The sequence below is a fragment of the Homo sapiens genome, chromosome 4 (assembly GCF_000001405.40).
Source record: "Homo sapiens chromosome 4, GRCh38.p14 Primary Assembly".
Classification (NCBI taxonomy): Eukaryota; Metazoa; Chordata; class Mammalia; order Primates; family Hominidae; genus Homo; species Homo sapiens.
Window position 1 is genome coordinate 189,184,508 of NC_000004.12, and position 23,832 is coordinate 189,208,339.

At 40.0% G+C, this 23,832-nt stretch overlaps 1 long non-coding RNA gene across 1 annotated transcript, besides 1 other annotated feature; it reads left to right on the forward strand.

The window, feature by feature from the left end:
* Positions 1,356-2,283: an enhancer, noted in NCBI's record as "OCT4-NANOG-H3K27ac hESC enhancer chr4:190107017-190107944 (GRCh37/hg19 assembly coordinates)". NCBI's record gives its function as "activates a minimal SCP1, AML or CMV promoter by ChIP-STARR-seq in naive H9 embryonic stem cells {active_cell/tissue: H9 hESC(naive)}" and the evidence as "EXISTENCE:reporter gene assay evidence [ECO:0000049][PMID:30033119]".
* On the forward strand, positions 18,638-20,374 carry LOC124900838 (uncharacterized). The gene is made up of 2 exons (XR_007058428.1): positions 18,638-18,755; positions 20,136-20,374. It is a non-coding gene; the product is annotated as an uncharacterized LOC124900838 (long non-coding RNA).
* The last annotated feature ends 3,458 nt before the right edge of the window (positions 20,375-23,832 follow it).

Sequence of the window (23,832 nt, forward strand, 5' to 3'; positions counted from 1 at the left end):
GGCATAGGAGTCCCCCACAGGACAGAGGATCCGAGCTCAGAAGCCCACCTGGTGGCATAGGAGTCCCCCCACAGGACAGATGATATGAGCTCAGAAGCCTACCTGATGGCACAGGAGTTCCCCCACAGGACAGATGATATGAGCTCAGAAGCCTACCTGATGGCACAGGAGTTCCCCCACAGGACAGATGATATGAGCTCAGAAGCCTACCTGATGGCACAGGAGTTCCCCCACAGGACAGATGATATGAGCTCAGAAGCCCACCTGGTGGCTTAGGAGTCCCCCCACAGGGCAGAGGATCCGAGCTCAGAAGCCCACCTGATGGCACAGGAGTCCCCCACAGGGCAGAGGATCCGAGCTCAGAAGCCCACCTGATGGCACAGGAGTCCCCCACAGGACAGAGGATACGAGCTCAGAAGCCCACCTGGTGGCATAGAAGTCCCCCAACAGGACAGAGGATCCCAGCTCAGAAGCCCACCTGGTGGCACAGGAGTTCCCCCACAGGACAGAGGATCCGAGCTCAGAAGCCTACCTGATGGCACAGGAGTTCCCCCACAGGACAGAGGATCCGAGCTCAGAAGCCCACCTGATGGCACAGGAGTTCCCCCACAGGACAGAGGATCCGAGCTCAGAAGCCCACCTGGTGGCATAGAAGTCCCCCCACAGGACAGAGGGCCTCTAATAGTCTAGACTGGACCTTTTGAACCAATGCTGGGAGGGCTTTGCTGACTACATTATTGCAGTTAGAAAAGAGTTTCTGTAATTGACCAAAGTTATCAGGTTTCATACCTACTTTTACTTATGTTGACAGCTCACAATTGTGACACAAGGCAACTTCCAGGACTCTGCAGTGCTATGAAGTGGCAAGAGAAAAATGCAAAGCTCAATGCGGCCACCAACGGCAAATGAGCCACAGTTTTTGGATTAAAAGTGTATTTTAATGTGCTGCATTCTGCCCATGTTATCTATGAATTCTATTTTCTATTAATGAGAATTGATATCAAGGTCATAAAGTTGGGACTCCTGAAATCAATTCATAATCATATTGCTTTCCAGAATTTCTAATGCTATACTTTCTTGAGGTAATTTTAAGAAAGGTTTCCTTACCATTTACCCAAATTTCATACACAGACACACACCAAAACAAAAACAAAACAAAAACTGAATGAATATTTTTGTGCTGATACAAACCGTCACAAAGGAAGTAATGATGGGATTTGTCTACATTAACCTGACATACTGGTGAAAATAACCCCATTGTTCATTATTTGAATTAGGCAATAATTTGGAGAAATTCTTGAAGAGGACATAAAGGAGACCGCAGATACGTGTGGGCTGCCTGTGAAAGGCATGCTGCTTTGTAAATATTCACACTAAACTTTCAAACACAAGAGTGATACTACCCTAGCAAAACCTAAGGTTCTCCAGGGAGGCAGGTGACTAGTTCCACTTTTTCTCTTTCCTTAATGTTACAATTGAGGTTTCCTTTGATTACCCTTCTCTCAAGGAAGAGAAAGAAAGGAAACTTTGTATCTGCAGAAATGATGAGGTCCAGAGAGACAGGGAGTAAGACCCCGGTCCCATCCCCCTTCCTTCTTGGGGCTAGGGAATCAGCTCTTGAAACTGCTTGCTCTCTCACAAGTAGCTGTCAATTAACCTAACAATGCCACACACCTGATCCCTAATCCTTACAACAAAGAGCCAATCACCAACGGTTGTTATTTCTGTAAACCAGTGAGAATTCCTGACCAGCAACTTTGTGTCAGCCCATTCCTTGCCTGCCTTTTTGTTTTAAAAGCCTGCCTGTAACAGAGGCCACACAGAGCTCATATCCACGCTGACCCGGGTCTGAGTCTTCTGGGTAGCTGTGCTCACGTTGGCTCAGGTCAACTCTTGAAATTATATATTGTGCCTCAGCTTTGCCTTTGAGTAGACCGGGAATATTAAAATATAATTGTACCATAAAGTACTAATTGGTCTTAGTTTGTTTTGCCAAAATAAATTTATTGATAAAGCACAAGGGTGGTAGTTGCAGAGGTTTTATTACCTATATTTAACTGACTGCTAAGGTCTCAGTTTGCCCATGTGGGTGCCCTGTTTAATCTTTCACCTTCTATCCAGAGTCTGAGTAGAATGAGACCCAGGTGGTGGGTACAGCAGATGCTCTGAGCACTGTATGAGCTGTCCATCCCTGAGAGTTTTGCTAGCAATTGCAGTCCAGAAGCCCTTTCTTTAATACGTGCACCAAAAAGTCAGGCTTGTATAGATGTTTATTGAATAAAATCACTTGTAAGCATGGTGCTGACGTGCGGTTCTCAGGCTGTTAGAGAGTTAATATTAGGGCTGACGTGCGGTTCTTAGGCTGTTAGAGAGTTAATATTTTAGTTGATTCTAAAATTGTCACCAAATTAAAAATCTAAAATTTCCCTTCACAAAGCCCTTAATTAGGATACATTTAAGTATATACTCAGATCGTTTGGCTTTGAATTACAAAAGCAATCCCTATTATATACAAGAAGATGTATTTCTGAAAAAATTAAATCATTAATAATGTAATTTCTTTTTGAGACAGAGTCTTGCTCTGCTGCCCAGGCTGGAGTGCAGTGCCTGATCTTGGCTCCATCCAACCTCCACTTCCTGGATTTGAGTGATTCTTGTGCCTCAGCCACTAGAGTAGCTGGGATTATAGGTGTGTGCCACCATGCCCAGCTAATTTTTGTATTTTTAGTAGAGATGGGGTCTCCCCATGTTGCCAGGGTGGTCTGAAACTCCTGAGCTCAAGTGATCCACCTGCCTCAGGCTCCCAAAGTGCTGGGATTATAGGCATGAACCACCGTGCCCAGCCTAACAAGGTAAATTTTAAATATTCAGTTGCTAGTCTTTAACTATAGCTTCAGAATGAATTCTAAAAGATTAAAAACCTTAAATAACTCTCCCAAATAGGATATTGGGAGGTATAAAAAATAACTTCCATCATTATATTCTGATACATTTATTATTTGTAAATTTTTGAAAGTGAAAAAGCTATACTAGTCAGTTAATTCCATAATTTTATTATATTTACTGTTCTCTAGTCATAAGAGAAAACAGGAACAGTACTCCCTTTTCCTACAGTTTCTTCCTAAGAAAGGAAGGCAGTCACAGAGAATTTGGAACAGATTAGTGTCATTTGATATTAGAGGTCTTGAAATTAGCTTCTCATTGCATAGAGTGAGGTAATCTGGCATTGAGTCATGTTATTATTCATCTCCTTTCAATACAAGGTGTATTAAATAGTATATAAATAAGTATGTCAAGCAAAACCTATTTATTGTCACAGAAAAGTCATTTGGTCGACAGCTTGTCAGAGACTGGGAAATTAACATCTTTTGCAAACACTTTTTTCTTCCTACCAGGTTGATACATTTAAGACAAATGTGTAACATAGCCTGATGTTATTAAAGGTAAAACTGTGCCTCCTGCATCTGAGGCTTAATAGAACGTAAGAAAATGAATTTCAAATTGTGATATAGCTTTGACACAATGTAAGGCTGTCTTTTAACTTTAATTGAATTCTAATCATTTCATGAGGTATATTCATGCCTGTATCTTCATTCCTATACAACAGAGAAATTTAGCACTCATTAAACTTGTCAAAACCATAGCAAGAAATAAAGGCATCTGGAGGAGTGATTCTGATCCTTATTTTTCATGTGTTTGGCGGAAAGTGTCCAACTTTCCTGCCCTGTCCTGGGAAGGTGGCAGAAGGAAAGGACTCATCTCAGGTGAACGCTGCCAGATCTCTCCTGGAGCAGAACTTTTGGGAAAGTCTCCAAGGTTTTGAGAAAAAACTAACAAGTTAACTGCTGTCTAATGCTCTTGCCCTACAATTAAGTGTCGGTGGAGCAGCACAGACGCCAACAATCGATGCAGAAAGCAATCAGGGGTGGTGCAAGAGCATCCAAGGATTTTCTCATGCCAACAGTTTGAAAAATTATGGCTTAAAAAACCTAAATGTTAAAGCCTGACACAAACACACACAAACCCCAATCAACATTCAGTTGCGAAGTACTGATCGCACGCTGGCAACCATATCAAAGTAAAAACCCAGTGGTAACATGTAAGATATTGGTATGACATTTGCTTATTATGATTTTTATTAGAAATAGTAGCAGTAGCAATGGTTGTGGATTAGGGATAATCCATCAACACCAATTTATAGAGTCTGGATTTACATATACATATAGAAAAGCTCACCTTTAGCAGGAATTGAAGCTAACTTCCTGTCAGAGAACAACTTTTTTTCTTGGCTCAAAAGCATCATGTACTAACCACTGGCCACTCAAGAATGTCAATGATTTCCCTTGTCCTAACCAATTAAATATCAAGTTATTAACCTGTGTTGTGGGCTGACCTAAATCACTTTGGCTTTTCACATTTATTAGTTTTTTTTTTGGGGGGGGGGGGTAGGGTAGATAGTTTCCAATAAACATCTACCATGACCAGGTGGAATAAAATCAAGTCTCAGACCTAATTCTGCCAAGCACACATGCATGCGCACTGTTGGGGGAATCTTCCCCCAATATTTCAACATAGGTTCTTTCTATTTTCCGTAAGTGTCAGCCAGCTGAGAAATAAAGAGAGACAGTACAAAGAGAGGAATTTTACAGCTGGGCCGCTGGAGGTGACACCACATATCAGTAGGACCATGATGCCTGCCTGAGCCTCAGACCAGCAAGTTTATATTAAGGGTTTCAAAAGGGGAGGGGGTGTAAGAACAGGGAGTAGGCTCAAAGATCACATGCTTCAAAGGGCAAAAAGCAGAACTACTAATAAGGGTCTAACAAAGATCACATGCTCCTGAGGGAACAGGACAAAGGGCAAAAGCAGAACCACTGATGAGGGTCCATGTTCAGTGCTGCACGTATTGTCTTGAGAAACATCTTAAACAACAGAAAACAGAGTTCGAGAGCAGAGAACCAGTCTGACCACAAATTTACCAGGGCGGAGTTTTCCCAACCCTAGTAAGCCTGAGGGTTCTGCAGGAGACCAGGGTGCATCTCAGTCCTCATCTCAACCACATAAGACAGACACTCCCAGAGCAGCCATTTATAGACATCCCCCCAGGAATGAATTCTTTTTCCAGGGTATTAATATTAATATTTCTTGCTAGGAAAAGAATTTAGTGATATCTTCCCTACTTGCACATCCATTTATATGCTGTCTGCAAGAAGAAAAATATGGCTCTTTTTGCCCGACCCCACAGGCAGTCAGACCTTGTGGTTATCTTCCTTTGTTTCCTAAAAATCGCATTATTTTGTTCTTTTCCAAGGTGCACTGATTTGATATTGTTCAAACACACATGTTTTACAATCAATTTGTACAGTTAACACAATTATCACAGTGATCCTGAGGTGACATACATCCTCAGCTTATGAAGATAACAGGATTAAGATATTAAAGTAAAGACAGGCACAAGAAATTATAAAAGTATTATTTGGGAACTGATAAATGTCCATGAAATCTTCACAATTTATGTTCCTCTGCTGTGGCTCCAGCTGGTTCCTCTGTTCGGGGTCCCTGACTTCCCTCAACAGCACTTGCAACCTGTCACACAATATCTGGTGTTATTTGATCAATGATATCACAAATCTTTCTTCTCTTTTAGCCTTCCAACAATTATCTTGCGTATGAGCTTATGTGGAACAATATTCCAGTTCCAGGAAGGTGGAATATGTCCAGGTGGACTCAGGTGACTTTCTTAGTGGACTCAGGTGACAGAAAGGCAGAGTGGAATGGGGCCCTAAGCCAAGGCTGTGATCAGAGGTGCAGAGATTTCTGAGCTTGCTAACCACACTTGCCTTGTCTGTGCAAGGAGGGCGGTGTTTTACATTTTCCCAAGTCCATTCACATATCTCTAATGAGACACATTCCACCAATGATAAAATATTTCTAGCTTGCTTTATGTCACATAAGAAGAAATGAGTAGCTCTGATCAAGACAAAAGATAATCGAACTATTTGTAATCACTCTCTTTGGAGAGTGGAATCCTCATGAGGGTCCTTTACATGCAAAGTAACCACCTGGTATTCCTGGATATTTCCTCATATTTCAAATAGTACATAATGCCTCTTGGGGGTAGAATACAGCTAAGATCTTTCTATAACACAGTCTGTGCTAAAGTTTTGTTTTGTTTGGCTTCTAATCAGAGAAAATATAACACATTCAGGGCTTGCCACAATATGGTTTTCTTCACATTTACTTCCCCCAACTTCTCCCATCAAATAACTCACTTGATTTGAACATCCCCTGTGCCAGTGCTGGTGCTACTTTATCTGAAAAAAACTTTATTTCTCCCCATCTCTATTCAAAATATGTAAGTCATCCTTGAAAGCTCATTTTTGAAACAAATTTTCTTAATACCTTTTTTTACTATACATGTAATAACATGTATGAACATACTTGCAAACACTTAATAGCAAATTTGCTATATATTTGATAATGCATTTCATTAATTATTACATTTGCTATACATTCATTAAACAAAGACTATGTGCTACGTAGCGGGACCAATGATGAAATTTTCCCTGGATCCAGGCAGCCAATGAGTGTGGCAGCAAACCAGGAAACACGGCGTGTTGAGCACTCTGTGGGGAAATGTGGGCACATTTCCTGCTAATACAGCCTGTGGAAGGGCTATTCTAAGTTTGCTGGGTAGAATCTTGAAGGCTTTTCTAAAAAGTACTGCTTGAGGTGAGGTTAAAGAATAAATAGAAGCTGTTCTATTTTAAAAGGCAAAAGCAAAGAAACATGAGAGCAAAATCCGACCTTTCAAGAACAGACGGCGTGATTATTTTTTTCATGGTTGCTACTGCATATGTGCACCATAGCACGAAATTCAAATCATGTATTGTAGACTGTGGCAGCCACTGAAACTGGAAATGTAGGGAATGATTTCAAATAACTGTTTTGGGAAGATCACTCTACTGCCATGTGGAAGATGGACTGGAGAAGGCACGGCTGGAGAGAGTGCAGTGAGAATGACTAATGGTTCACATGAGGAATGAGGATGGCTGGAGTAAAGCAGTGGCAATGTGGACAGAGACAGCAGAAATGGGACCAAGTATCAGATTTACTTGGAAGCATTAGCAGTATGACTGGCAGCAAACATACAAGAGTGAAAGAGGTGACAGGTAAGATGGCCGTCAGGCCTGCTATGCAGGTGACTGAGCCAAAAATCAGAGAAGAAAAGCAGAAGCAGCATCTCAAAAAGCAGGGGAAGCATCTCACTGTAGAGGGGAATGCCCTGACCCCATGGTAGAAGCACTGAATCTGAAGAACAGATGCGACGTCTGAAGGGTTGGGTTTATATAGAATCCTAGAGTGCAGGAGAGAACACCAGATACAAATATCAGTTTGAGTCCTCATTACAAAGCAGCAGGTGAAAGAATGAACAGGAACAATGGTACCTGAGTTAGAAAGAAAAGAAGGACTAGTCCTCAACTCTAGGAAATGGAGCTATTTAAGAGGTGGTTGGGGAAAAATAAATCTATGGAAGAGGCAGGAAGGAGCAGTCAGGGAATAAGTGAAGCAAGAGAAACCAAGGGAATGAGAAGGAAGAAAAGCATCTCAAGATAAAAAGTGGCCACATTGTCAACTTCTCCAAGACAGTAAGTAAAATAGGAAGAAGGAGGGAAAAGCAAAATAATCCATTGGAATGGCTCCTGGAAACTCAGAGGTGAACAGAGTGGAACTAGGAAGCAGTGGGACAGAATGTAGAGATCGTATCTTGCCCAATGCTGCCTTTATTCTCTCTTTTATCAAGCCTTTTTGTTCTTTTCTAATCCCCTCCTCTCTTAGTCCATTTGTGTTGCTATAAAGGAATACCCAAGGCTGGAAAACTTATAAAGAAAAGAGGTGTGTTTGGCTCACAGTTCTGCAGGCTGTACAAGAAGCAAGCACCAGCATGTGCTTCAGGTGAGGCCCTCAGGGAGCTTCCAATCATGAAGGGAGGCAAATGGGAAGCAGGCATGTCACCTGGGAAGAGAGGGAGCAAGAGAGAGAGAGAAGAGGGATGCCAGGCCCTTTAAACAGCCAGCTCTAGTGTGAACTAATAGAGCAAGGACTCATTACCAAGGGGAGGGCACCAAGCCATTCATGAGGCGTTCACCCCCACCAGCCAACACTGCCCATCAGGCCCCACCTCCAGCATTGAGGATTACATTTCAACATGAGATTTGGAGGGAACAAGCATACAAATACTACGATCCCCTCTATGATGTGATAATGTGGCTAAATTGTGCCGCCCTCCACTTCCTATGCTGATACCCTAACCCTCAGGACAACTGTATTTGGAGGCAGGGCCTTTAGTAAATAATGAGGCTAAATGAGGTCATAATGACAGGACTCTAATCGATAGAACTAGTACCTTTTTTTTTTTTTTGAGACGGAGTCCCTCTCTGTCGCCCAGGCTGGAGTGCAGTGGCACGATCTCAGCTCACTGCAAGCTCCACCTCCCGGGTTCAAGCGATTCTCCTGCCTCAGCCTCCCGAGTAGCTGGGACTACAGGCACCCGCCACCACGTCCGGCTAATTTTTGTATTTTTAGTAGAGACGGGGTTTCACCGTGTTAGCCAGGATGGTCTTGCACTCCTGACCTCGTCCACCCTCCTTCTCCTCCCAAAGTGCTGGGATTACATGCGTGAGCCACCGCGCCTGGCCCTGGTGCCCTTTTAAAAACAGGAAGAGGGAGAGAGTGATCTTGCTCTAGCAACACATGAGAAGAGGCAACGTGAGTACACAGTGAAATGGTGGCTTCCTACGAGGCAGGGGAAGAAGATGCGGAATGCACTGTCCCTTGCCGGCACCTTCTCAACTGGACTCCAGATCTGTGAGAAGTGAATTTCTGTTGTGTACCTGTCCAGTCTATAGTAGCTGTTACTGCAGCCCAAGGTGACTGGTACATGTGGTTTCCCCTAAGACAGTTAAGAGCTACGTGTTTTAAAAAACTCTTTGACTTATTTTGATCTTGTATGTAATATTCAAAATAATAAATCCGTAAAAGTCCAAATGGTAAATTCTTCTCTAAAAAGTATCTTCCTATATATAAAACCCATGAATTTATTTTCTAGGGAAGAAGTGAAGAAAAGTTTCATATTCCTGACAGTACTGCTTGTATATTTTGCATTTCTATAGGGGAAGGGAAGACTAATATACCGGGAGTGCTGTGATCCCAGGTGTTTCTTGTTTATGAGAACAAGACATTTTACATTCTTCCATTGTAGGTTTCATAACCTCAGGGATACACAGGAATCTAAAATGTCAGTGGCTCGGCTGGAAGAGACAACGATAGAAATAGGAAGAGACAGCAAAGGCTCCAAGGACAATTTGGGCAGAGAGAAGAAAACAAGGGTGCCAGTCCGATCTTGACGGTTGCCTATTATTGGCAATAAACTGTCTTTTTGACTCATTGATGGGCCTTGGCTCCTAGCAGCAAACCAAACAAAAACAAAAACAAACATAAAAACAAACAACCTTTTCATGACCAAATTCCAATGCATATACTCTGGCACCCAGAGAGCTTATCATTCAGGACCAGGAAATAATCAGCTGTGTACTGTTTGCAGCGATTCTCCCAAGAGCCATTTTGAGCCTTTCTACCACTTTCCACACGATGCTGCCCTTGCGATTTTATGCCTCTGGGCCAAAATGAGAATATACTAGAGTGGCTCCGGACCTGCAGGAGATAAATAATTAATTCCAAACTCAGCCAGCAGACAGTCCTGCTGACTTTAGTTGACGAAAAGCGACTATTACCCAGACTCCAACGCTGAGTACACACACTGGGAGAAAGCCCTGGAGTGTCATGGTATTTGCAATATCTGTGAAGGACGATCTCCTTTTAACACAGTTTCTTACCTCCGGTTTTCCCCAGTGATATCCTAGCAAATAGGAGCAGCCTGAGAGAATCGGCCATTCTCTTTATTTTTCATTCTTACTATAATATAGCATGATTTATTCTGTTGGTATTATATATTCTTTGTATTCTTAAAATCAGGGGACCTGTTTTTGGTGTACTAAGTGTTCAAATTTGGCAGAAATTTGGAAGCTTCTTCCTTAAAAACAATTTATATAACAAATATCTGTACTTAGCCCCAGAAATTCCATTGCATTCATGATATAGTTTGGCTCTGTGCCCCCACCCAAATCTCACCTTGAATTGTAGTTCCCATAATCCTTATGTGTCATGGGAGGGACCCAGTGGGAGGTAATTGGATCATGGGGGCAGTTATTCTCATGCTGTTCTCATGATAGTGAGTGAGTTCTCATGACGTCTGATGGTTTTATAAAGGGCTTTTTCTCCTTTTGTTTGACAATTCTCCTTGCTGCCACCATGTGAAGAAGAAGGTATTTGCTTCCCTTTCTGCCATGATTGTAAGTTTCCTGAGGCCTCCCCAGCCCTGCGGAACTTTGAGTCAATGAAACCTTTTTTCTTTATAAATTACTCAGTCTCAGGTATTGCTTCATAGCAGCATGAGAACAATGGACTAATGCAAATTATGAACTTGATAAAACAAGCAAGTCAATGCAAAAGGCCCAGTCCAAGCAGACAAATGAGAACTTCTACTTTAAAACTTCAAAATCAGATACTTTGATCATTCATTTACAATTTCGTTTTCCTACTTCTTACTGAACATGGTAATTTGTATTAAGAAAATATCCCAAAACTAATCTCTGTGTTGAGATGAACTATCTGTCCCTCATAGATTAGACTACATCTATATAGGTCAAGAGCATACAGAAATAAGTATACTTACATTTTCTCTGTTTTTTTCCAAATTTATAAATTGTGTCTGTTCCTTTGTTTTGTTTTTTAGCTTTTATTTTAGACAGAGTGGGTACATGGGAAGATTCATTACATGGGAACATTGTGTGATGCTGAGGTTTGTTGTATGGATTCCATCACCCTGATAGGGAGCACAGTACCTGATAGGTAGTTTTTTAACCCACCTCTCCCAAACCTTCTATAAGTCCACAGTGTCTATTGCTTCCAGATTTATGCTCATGTGTGCTCAATGTTTAGCTACCACTTTTAAGTTAGAACATATAGTATTTGGTTTTCTGTTTCTGTGTTAGTTTACTTAGAATTATGGCCTCTAGCTTCATGCATGCTGCTACAAGGACATGACTTAACTTTTTTATGGCCATGCAGTATTACTTAGTGTATATGGACCATATGTTCTTTATCTAATCTACCATTGATGGATACCTGGGTTGATTCCACTGGCGATTGTGAATAGCTTGACAATGAACATATGAGTGCACATGCCTTCTTTTGAATTATTTTCCTTTGGATAATGGAATTACTGGGTCAAATGTAGTTCTAAGTTCTTTGAGAAATCTCCACACTGAGAAATCTCCACATGGTTGCTCTCCACAGTGGCTGAGCTGATTTGAATTCCTATCAACAATGTGTAAACATTCCCTTTTTCACAGCCTTACCATCTGTTTTTATCGTTACTGTTTTTTGGACTTTTTAACATAATCATTCTGACTGGTATTAGATGGTATCTCACTGTGGCTTTGATTTAAAGAAATTATTTCACTGTTACTTGCTATCATTGGCCTTGTTGAAGATTAGATGGTTGTTGGTGTGTGGTTTGGTTTCTGAAATTTTATTGTATTCCATTGGTCTAATGTGTCTGCTTTCCCACCCATTCCAAGCTCTTTTGCTTAATGTGGCTTTATAGTATAGTTTGAAGTTGGGTAGTGTGACTCCTCCAGCTTATTCTTTTTGCTTAGGATGGCTTTGGCTATTCAGGCTTTTTTTTTGGATCCGTATGAATTTTAGAATAGTATTTTTTATTTCTGTGAAGAATGTCATTGGTAGATTGATAAAAATAGTATTGAATCTAAATTGCTTTGGGCAGTATGGCCGTTTTAATGATATTGATTCTTCCAATCCATGCACATGAACTGTTTTTTTCATTTATTTGTATTGTCTCTGATTTCTTTCAGCCGTGTTTTGTAATTCTCTTTGTAGAGATTTTTCGCCTTTATTAGGTGTATGCCTAGGTATTTCATTGTCCTTGTGGCTACTGTAAGTGGGATTATGCACTTAATTTCATTCTCAGCATGGACCTTGTTGGCGTATAGAAATGCTACTGAGTTTTATATACTGATTTTGTATCCTGAAACTACTAAAGTCATTTATCCTGGGAGTCTTTTGGCAGTCTTAAGGATTTTCTTTGTACAGAATCATATCAGTGAAAAGAGATAGTTTATGTTTTTTCTTATTTGGAGGCCTTTTCCTTTTATCTCTTGCCTAAATGCTGTGCCTGGGACTTCCACTACCATGTTGAATAGGAGTGGTGAGAGTGAGCATCCTTTTCTTTTTCCAGTTCTCAAAGGGAATGGTTCAAACTTTTGCTCATGAACCATGATGTTGGATGTGGGATTGTCATAAATGGCTCCTAATATTTTGAGGTGTGTTTCTATGATGCCTAGTCTGTTGAAGATTTTTTCATAAATGGATGTTGGATTTTATCAAAAGCTTTTTCTGCATCTATTGAGATGATCATATGGTTTTGCTTTTGATTCTGTTTATGTTGTTAATCACATGTATTTATTTGCTTATGTTGAACCAGCCTTGCATCTCAGGGATAAAGCCTACCTGATTGTGGTGAATTAACTTTTCAACGTGCTGCTGGATTCAATTTGCTATTATTTCATTGGAGATTTTGGCAATGTTCATAAGGGATATTGGTCTGAAGTTTTCATTTTTCATTGTGTCTCTGCCAGATTTGGATATCAGGCTGATGCTGGCTTGATAGAATAAGTTAGGGAGAAGCCTCTGCTCTTCAATTTTTTGGAATAGTTTCAGCAGGCTTGGCACCAGTTCTTCTTTGTATATCTAGTAGAATTTGGTTGTAAATCCATCTTGTCTAGGGCTTTTTTGGTTGATAGTTTATCACTATTTCAACTTCAGAAGTTGATATTGGGGTCTATTCAGGGTCTCAAACTCTTCCTGAGTCAATCTTGGGAGATGATGTGTTTCCAGGAGGTTATGCATTTCCCCTAGATTTTCTAATTGTGTGCGTAGAGTCATTCATAGTAGTCTCTGAGACTTTTGTATTTCCCCTTTTAAATCTCTATTTTTTTCAAAGAAGTGATCTTCAATAAACTAAAGACAAAGAATTGGAAAAACTGGTTCAAATAATCTAGATGTTCAGTGCCTGGAGAATGAATGTAATTCATTTAATATTTATCCAATTATGGTCACTGGTGACATCCTCATTGGCCAACAACATTGAGGTCCCATGAAATCCCCTGGCTCTCTGTTCCTTTTTACCCCAGGGATCTGTGCAAAGGCTGTGAATGTCATGGTTCCAGCAACCTTTGTTTCACCCATTGCCATCCCCATTGACATACCCTTATGATGTGGAGATGGGTCCTTATAAAGTGTGGGAACTTCATGGGACTTCAGTTTCAGTGTAGTGTGGGAACTTCATGGGACCTCAATTTCAGTGTAGTGTGGGAACTTCATGGGACCTCAGTTTCAGTGTACTGTGGGAACTTCATGGGACCTCAGTTTCAGGGTAGTGTGGGAACTACACTTTATAAGGACCCATCTCCACATTCTAAGGGTCATCATACCTCATTGTCCTTTCATCAGTATAGTGGAAAATCTCTACTTTTCTGTTGCATTCAGAGACACTATTTTCTATCTCCCTTCCCTATAGTGAGATACAAACCATAGGATCATCTCAATAGATGCAGAAAAAGCTTTTGAAAAAATCCAACATCCCTTTATGATAAAATCTTCAACAGACCAGGCATCAAAGGAACACACCTGAAAATATTAAGAGCCATTTATGACAATCTCACAGCCAACATCATGCTGAATGTTCTATAGAAAGGATGTTTTCTATCTCTCTTCTCATCAGTGGCTTTATACTTTTATGTAAAGGGAAAAATAGCATAAACAACTGTTGTTTCCTAAAGTTTTGATTCAGGGGAGCAAAGATCCTTGAAGCAGGAAAATAGTAAGTGTCTTGCTGTCTAGAAGGCAGAATGGGAGAGACCTGGGACAGAAAATTCAAAGAGCAAAACAAAAACCAACACCTCAAAAAAGTATTCTACCACCACGGTAATTAAGAACTTTGACAAGCCTGGCTCAAATCCTGGCCTTGCCATTTACATGTTGTCTGACCTTGAACAAGACATTTGACCTGCTTTTTTTTTTCCAACATTGTATTGAAAAATAATATGTATATATAAATATATATGCTAATATACTTAGAGAAAAGTACCCCTCCTTAAGTGCATAGCTCAGCATATTTTGAGCACAGACGTCCAGAAAAACAAGGGTGCAAGCACCCATAAGCCCCTCCCCTTGCTCTTTCTGGCCATCGCTGCCCCCGCTAAGGTGACCCCCTCCTGACTCGCATAGCTCAGAATAGTTATTCTTCGCTCCGGTGCGCACCGTTACTTCAGTTCTTTTTGCTTCCTTTATGACACAGGGATTATCGAAGTACCTTCATCCTGGTGTTGTTACGACAAGTAAACAAATTAATATTTTAAAAATGTTTAGAACAGCCTATGCATAGTAGGCAGAGTGCATTTGTTAAATAAAAATAAAACACATATTCTAGAAAAATTAATGGTTTAATATAAGTTGTGTGACCCTAAACCTATGAATTGTGGTTAAAAACAGATTGACACATGAAGAAGTAAATGATGACCTACCCTAGATAAATAAAAATTCAGCTTCACAAATGTTTCATTCACTCCTACATGGTGACCCTAGAATAACGTTACACAGATTTCTTAGGTTGGTTTGACGGAAAGAAAATGTAAGCGTACATATATGTCTCAATAGTGATTGAATATGGTTTCCTTCTGAAACCATCACTTTGTCCTATTGTGAAAAAGTTACGCATTATATCATGTGTCACTTTAAAGAACCTCTAGATATTGTTCAAATTCATTTGTTGAATAAGAAATTTGTATATTGCTCATACACACACATTTTTAATTTATAAAATGTAAGCTTAATAGGGCTGCAAGTTTTTGGATTACATAAGTGTGGTTATTGGAATTAAGAAAAATACCCATAGTAAAGAGAATGTACCTGGAATTGCTGAGGCTGCCATGAGATTAAAGCAGTTTACTACATTCTAAAAAGGGCATGGGATCAACATTAAGAATCCTGTTTCATTTATCACCATTTCATGGAATTGATTTTCTGTCCTTAGAAATGAGGATATTTTGTGACTGAGCCACCAGAAGACAGCATGGCTGGACTCTAAATACTTCTTTTAAAAAAGTGAAGAAAAAAGAGAGCAGGTTTTTTTCCCCAAGCTTAAAGAACAGTGTATACATTAAGACATCATTTCATGTAAACTATATGATCTTTTACTCTCCTTTTTTGCTTATTATTGAATATCTATTATATGATTGCTTTAGTTTTCTGAAAATCTATTTCACAAGAACATTATGTTTCTAGATAATCAGTGACATGGCACAAGCAAACACTTACTCAGAAGATTCAACATCCAACGTTCCATTTAGAAATGATGCCAGGGTGACTGACAACGCTGAACTTCAAAGGTGTGAGATAGGGAAAGTCATTAATAATCAAACTGAAAAACACATTATGTCAAGTTTAGAAGTAGCCGTTGCAGAAGGTGAGTCTCTGAAGTTTCATTTCTACAAATGAACGGCCAGTATTTGTGGACTCTATGGAGAGCCCAGAAAGCAAAGAAAAGTAGTAGCACATATTTGGCAAACATCCTGTTGTTTAAGCAGATTTGTTTTTATGTCGCTGAGAAGAACTACTTGAAATTTTTCAGCGAGGAGAGCTTTGCAGTAAACACTTCTAGTTTATTAGAAGTAGTGCAGGATCGCGAGTATGCAGCCTATGCAGTTGAATGGACCCCTGCTCTCGGAAGAGCCTCACACGTGTTCTGCTGAATTTTCTGCAATTAATTCATCAAGATTTAAATTAAACAAAGACCGATTTGTACCTCCAATGGGCCAGACACTGTACTGAGTATCACTATGGAAACAACAGTAAACACTAAATGTGGTCCCTGCCCTCAGGCACTAATTCAATAGAAAGCAATATAGAAAATTAGACAAAGGAGTAAGTACAATGAATGTGATGAAGTGTTACGACTATGTGTAGTCTACTATAAGAGACAGACATATCGTGGCTATAAGATTAATGACAGCCATAAGGCCACCTTGACATCTCACAGTGCCTACACTATGTATCACTTAGCAACTTAATGTCACCTGGCTTGGGGATTTCCAATTCTGGCCCAGGGGTTACCAGAACTCTATGACAAGGGGACCTAAAACCCCTGTTGCCCTAGAGACAAGGCCACCTCAGCACAGATGCCAATTTCATAAGCCTTGAAACAAAGTTTACCCTTAAAGAATGGCTGAAATCCTCTTCACAAAAGAAAGCCCTAGTAACTGACCTGGATTGAATACAGGTGTAAGAAGGAGGAAGAGTCCCCCAAATATTGAAAATGGTCTCTGGCTGGAAGTCCTCTGGTTAGTCAGTCTTCTGACCCCGACTGTGTGTGGCCCATGCCACAGCCGACTCCTACTAACCCTCCTGTAAGGGCACTGCCAGAAGAAAGTGCTTGAGCATCAGACGGTGTCTAAGGCTCATCTATGACAAGAATCGAGCTGCAGGGGAGAAGTCGCCCCTGGGGGAAGGCTGATTAACTAGAACCACTCAAGATCCTCGAATGTGACACTAAATATAATTGTATAATAAGAAAAGACACAATGCACAAACAGCCTGTAGGCATTGGCTAGCAGGGGACCACACAGCAGAGAACAGTTTATGTAAGGAAGTAGTTTATGAAAAAGTGAGTGGACATTTAAACAATGGAGAAGGCAAATATTCATTTCCTCAATCTGCTGTATTAGGAGACGTGGAACTTTGAAAATAGAAAAGTAGAACATTACCTGGAAGGCAAACATCATCTTATATAGATTGTGTAAGAACTTATTAGTGACCGAATAAGAGAGAGAGAAACCAAGAAAGGGAGAAACCGAGAGAAACTAAGAGGGAGAATATGATGGAGCAGGTGAATACCTGGAAGCATCAGTGCTCAGACATCCTGGGATTTCTATAATCACCTGAATTTCCTGATTTCCTGAGGTCTGTCTCACTGAAACTCTCTCTCAGTCCAATTTCTTGGGTCCAGTTTTAATGCCATTTTAATTCATCAGCAAGCTCTCCTTAGGGATTTGCCATTTGGGTCACAGAACGTGTTTGCCTCTTTCCCTGGTTCCGTTGAACTGTGAGTGGCCCTGGTTATGGCACACACTTTACCTGTGACAATTGCACCTGAACACAGCAGAGCTACTTGGCTGTAAATGAAACAGCCAATCTCTTATTTAGTTACAATGTCAGTGTAAAATGCAAACATGTTTTGAATCAAATGTATGTTATTAAATCGCTGAATGGTGGAAAAAGGGGAAAATAATATGTGGATATTTCAAGATTTTTAAAAATAAATGGAGTTGAGGAAAAAAGTCATTCAAAAACTAGTTTTTGTGATACTTCTAGCTTCTTAGCAAAGATACTGGATTCGACAGCTCAAAGAAATTTCTAAGAAGTTTCCAAACCTAAAATTTAAAACGCTAAGCGGATTCCTTTTCCTTTATGATTGCAACGTTCGAACAACATTCTGTGTGAGTGTTCATTGTCTGGTGATCTGTAATGATAGGGTTTCTGGCCAGATTCTTGACAATATCAATAAACACATTTCCTATCAACCGCAGTCTCACTCCCCTGGACATTGTGACATAAACACTAGTTGGTTAAATCCAGTCTCAGCTATTCTCTGAGAATGCCAAACTGAAACCACGTTGCACACTCGCAACGTGGCCCCAGGGGAGCCGCGGCCTGGCAACGCGCGCATCCTGTGGTAGTTCAGGAGCGCCACCTGTCGTGGAGAAGGAGAAAAGCAGGGCAGGGAAGACATTCTACATTTATTCTATTTTGGTGACATATATTCAAATAAAGGACGTATTTTCTTCTACAACTGTATTTTGCCCATTTGCTGTTTGATGATGTCTTACTAAAATGTTAAAGCGTGTTTACTGACTATAAATCGATAGTAAGTATCTTTTACAGAAAGAAAGAAAGGAAGAGAGAAAAGAGAAAGAAAGAAAAGAGAGAGGAAGGAAGGAAAACAACACTTGTCTTACCTTTATAGAAATTCCTGTGTTCAAACACTGTTCATTATATTTTTTCTTTAAATAATACCCTTAAGAAATGTACAGTTCTAAAACCCTACAACAATTTGTGTTTTTGTGGTTAAATAAACCAGTGTGAACTGTTTAAATAAACCATGAGGGCTTCATAACAGAAATTCAAATGCCCGGGTTGTGCTTGATCGTTACACAGGGTTTCAGCTGTGGTTTGCAGATTCTTGTAAACTAAACCTCATGGGAAGAGCCCACATTGACAGCTCATTTGTGAACCTTGAGGACAGAAGGCACTGAACTGCCGCCCGAAAACACTCTTCTCATTCTTAAATGTCTCTTCCATACATTCCAAGTTCCTAAAGGCATTCAACATAGCAAATGCTCTAGAAGCTATTTCTGAGTCATAAACCCAGTGACGTGAGCCAAGGTCTTCAAAGGAGACTCTCCTAATCTAAAAGCCTCTGTTCAGTGAGTGCTCCTACTTTCCGTGGCACCCAGCCTTCTTTCTCTCCGTGCTCCTCTGCATTTACCATCTCGCAGGTCAGTCCCCACCCCTTTCTGTCATCAGCACCTCTGCACCTCTGGCTTCTTCCCCTGAAGGCAGCCTGTCTGGCTGCTTCTCATCCATCAGCTCTCAGCTCACATGTCGACACTGCAATAGAAATTAGGCCTACCTATCTATTTGATTCCAACAACTCACTGTAATTCGCAACTATTCTATTTATTTTCTCTAATTTTTTCCTGGTGTGTTGCATATTTCCCTCTCCAAAATAGAAACTTGACCAATACAGCCCCTTAACTACCTTATTTACCGTTTTGTTAGCAGCATATAGTAACATGCCCTGGGGAGATGTGTGCACAATAATATTTTTGGAGTGCTGAGATGAAGGCTTTTCTATCAGTCAAACTGAACAAAATGTCTGAGGCTCTTTTGATAGGCTTAAGCGGATGTAAATAACTCTATATCATTGTAGCACGGTTTGCTGAAAGGCAACTCATGGGCTATAAAGGCAGAGAATTAAGTGTGGAAGTTTATAGTATTAGTTTGGTGAATAATATTATGATAAACATTTAAACTTTCCCTGGAATTCTGCAGCTCTGGAATAATAGATAAAAGTGTTGATGTTTCTCTAGCACAGGTAATCTCAGTGCAACTGGAGAAAGTTTGAAGTTACTGAATATTTGGCTAACTGAATTTGCTAATCTGCTTAAATAACAACTCCCAAAGTCTTGATACCCTGGTCTTTTTAAACGTGGACTAACAAAAATTCGACTGACCGAAACTTTCATTTATATTCATCTGAATATACAGCATATTCTGAATATATAGACAGGGACACTGTAATATCCCCAAAATACACATTCCTGGAACATTGCATTCTACCAGTCTTCTGTGTTACCTATTTTATGTTAATTTTGGCTACGTTATATGTTCCAGAAGTACCAAGATTTTCTACTTAAACAGTAACAAGTGAGTTTCAGTTGGGGCTGTTTATTTATGAAAGCTGTTTCATAAATAAATAAAGCTGTTTATTTATGATAGCTGCAGCTATGAGAAGCACCATGGGAGGGAGTCTGCAAACTGGTAAGACAGGAAAAGTTTCTCATGGAAGAGTAAAAGCAAGACGTTGTTTGCTAGAAAAAGGATAAACAAGAAAAAGCTAGTGTGAAAGAAAACAAAAATAACATACATAAAAGGGAGCAAATATGTTCCCCTCTCCCTGGAAAAAACAATTGTCTTTTAGCCAATAGTAAAATTAGAAAAATAAAGATAGATAATAGACACTTTGCGATATTAAGTGAGAGGAATTGAATGTGAATTTTAGTATTCTGACTTTAAAAATCAAAAATCAGAAAACCTGTTTGATATCCTAATTTTTGTTTTGAATGTTTACTGAATTATTAAATCCGAAAATCTAGGAACCAATTGATGCTGAAATGGATAGAAGTAGCACGAGTGAAAACTGAAGCAGAGGCATCAGGAAGACGCATCCTCAGAAGCTGTAAGACAGCATGGCGTGGGAGACGGCCCCTCTGTTTCGTCTCCTCAAGTTCCGTGGCAGACTAGTAAGACTGAGTTTGACACCTTGGGAGAGACACGTCTGCCAAGTTTGTCATCCATTAAATTCACATTAAATGATAAGAGTTGACCACAGTAATGTTGAGAGTTGAATAATGTTACTCTAGAAAGAAGATAAGAATTGTTTTCATATATTTGAAGAATTTTTACAAGGTAGATATCCCAAACCAGAAATGTTATATAAACTAATAGCTGGGTAACTTCACACAAAGTTGAAATAACATGGATATAGCACAGTTTAAAGGGTGATCTTTCACATTAGTCAAGAATTTTTATCAGACAGATTCATGAATTTATAGCTTTTATAATAAAAATTATTTATTAAATGGGGTTGTTTATAGTTTGGACTAATTGAGTTCATAGATCAAGGGAAAAAGCAGAAAAAGAGGTTTACACTGTGTTCTTAAAATCTTGAGTTTTTGTGTTCCTAAAGGACACATTTTAGTGAAAAAAATGTTTAAAAATTTATCTGGAAATTAGAATGTTTAAGGCCTAAATTCCCAAATTAGCCATGCTCAGATGACTTGATCAAAATGCCACATAAATCAATAATTTAAAATGGCTAGTTATGTGAACAAACAGATCTGAGCAAATTTTAGGTTTATTAACAAGGGAAAGAAAGAAAAAAGAAAACAAGAAAGGGGAGGAGGAAAGACAAGAAAGAAACTTGCTGAAGGCAACACATTGTAAGGCAACAGTAATTCTGGGAACAGGGAACTATTTGTTCTCGTGGGTAAGTGTGCATCTGCATCCATTTGTGTGTGCGAATAATATATGTTTGCTAAAACTTGAAAATGACATCATCCTTAAACATAAAAGTTTGTTAGTTTATTTAAATAATAAATTGAAATTGTGGCTGGGCATGGTGGCTCACACCTGTAATCCCAGCACTTTGAGAGGCCGAGGAGGGTGGATCACCTGAGACCAGGAGTTTAAGAACAGTCTGGCCAACATGGTGAAACCCTGTCTGCCCTAAAAATACAAAAATTAGCCAGGCATGGTGGTGCATGACTGTAATCCCACTACTTCAGAGGCTGAGGCAGGAGAATTGCTTGAACCTGGGAGGCGGAAATTGAAGTGAGCCGAGATCGCACCACTGCACTCCAGCCTGGGCAACAGAGAGACTCCATCTCAAAAAAAATAATAATAATAATAATAATAATGATGATGAATTGAAATTTTATTAAAAGTGAAAAGAATGTTTTATTGTCAAACATTTCTGTAGCTCACTCACTTGTAGAAACCATGTCTTTTTATTTGAGCCTGGCAGCTATGAACCTATTGTTATTTTTTCAGCTACAAAGTGATGTAAACAAATGTATCTATTAACATAAGTTTGCAAACTAGGCATTCTCAGGGCTGTGGTAGGGTAGGTAGGACCGTTAGACAGTCTCTTCATTCATATAAGCCCTGAAATTTAGAGAGCTGATCTCATATGAAAATGAGTTTATTGTATTTGATGTTATAAGAAAACTAATAGAACAGGCAGATGATTTTGCAGAATAAATAATGAATGCTAAAGTGTAGAAAAATATATAGAAAGCAAGGTTGGAACTCAGGGCAGGAGACACAGATGTGAGTCCCACTCCAGAGGTGATTTGAAGCTGTGCAAATCAAAAAGGTCCTAAGATGAAGAGCAAACCAAAAAAAGAACATGGTGACTACTGAATCCCAGGTAGGGTGCACAATTAGGTGGCGAAAAGAAGAGGAGACACAAATGGATACTGAGGCAAGAGACTGAACAGAGTAAAGCCTCACAGAGACCAACACTAAGCTGTAAGTAGGAAGAACTGCCTTTGGCCAGTAGAAAATATAGACTGCCGGCTCACATCTAGCCTCAGTCCTTTTGCAAACTTCAGATATTCTCTCTAATGGACGTTCTGGTGAGTTATCAAACTGAAATGGGCCATCATTAATTATTTTGTAATGCTTTATGAGGAGAATTTATTATACCGGATATTAGAATCATCTTTCTGAGTCTTAAGAGGAAATATTAAAATTCTATGTGAACTAAGCAATTGTGATTTGTTCTCTATTTTGCTTCTAAATATAAGTACTTGTGTAGATCAATGGTCCAAAAAGAGCAGAGACAGTCGTCACCGAGTGAAGACCCAAGAGATGGTAATATCCATGGAAAATAAAGATGAGAAAATGCAACTGGCCAGTAGAATCTGACAGCACGTTGAGCCTCTGCAAAAGAACTTTCTGCACTGAGTGCCCTGGGACCCACTTCCCTCTCCGGTCGTCTGTCTTGGCACAGATTGCTCAAGAAGAGCCCCCCAACTAACCCCTTTTCTCCATGACCAGAATCCTGAAAGCTGAATTGGTTCCTGTTGCTGTCCGCTCCTTGGATGGATGCCAGGGCAGCCGTTCACCGCAGGCAGTTATCAGTCACCGCTGGCAATCATGGTCCAGACCAGTTTTCCAACAGAAACACATTGCGTTATTGAAAGCAATGCACGAAATATTTTTAAAAGACTCAGTGATGCCAACGAATGTCTCAAAAGAATTCTGAAAGGGTTTCAGAAGATGGATGAATCTTTCAGTTCTAATTTTCAACAGTTAGCTTGAATCATTTCAACAGTTTCCATTTTTTTTCTCCTCAAGAAATGCATTTAGAAGAAATGTTTTTTGTTTTTTGTTTTTTATTTTTTTTCATCAACATGTTCTGAGTACACACCTACTCCGGGACCAGACCCTGTTTTCGACCTAGGAGACCCAGCAATGCATAGGACAGACACAGTCCCTCCTCTTGTGAAATTTACATTCTAGTGAAGGAAGAAAGAAATTAGATACATAAATAGATGAGGTAATTACAGGCAGTGTTAGGTGCTATGAAGAAATAAAACAAGGTCAAGAGACAGGGAGTGATTGAAGGGAGGCACAAGGAGTGATTCTGAGGTGTGAGGAGCTGTTGAAGGAACTGGCATCGGAAGTGAAATGTAAAACATAGAACTGAACCCGCTGTCTAAGTATCTGGGAGGACAATCTCAGTCGCAGTAAAAGCAAGGGTAAACCTGATATGATCTGGAGCAACAGCAACAGTGACAAAATAGCCTGGATGGCATGAAGTGGGCAATGCCAGAATGGCAAAAACTGTACAAGGGAGGCAGGCAAGCATGGAATTATTCAGAGCCCTGAGGACTATGGAAAACTCTGGAATTCACTCTATGGTCATTGAACTCATAAAGACATTGAAGTCTCCTTAACAAAGGAATGGCGCCAGTTGATTGACAGGTCGAACCTCCCTAGTTGTTACACGGCGGATTCGCTGCAGGAGAGCAGAGCTCTCCTCTTCTTTCCCTGAATGACTGCAGGAAATTGTGGTGCTGCCTTCCCTGGCAAACAAGGAGTGAAAAATCCCTTTGTGTTCAGCAGGTCAAGGTAACTCCTAGGACACAGCTTTTCAGTAAAAAGCAATCACTGGTGTTCACTAGAGTCTTGATGAAGTCTTTGTTAAGTGTAGCATATTTCTTCAATTCTTCTACCTGAGCATATCTCCTCTTCCTATTATTTGAGCTAGAAGCAATAACAATG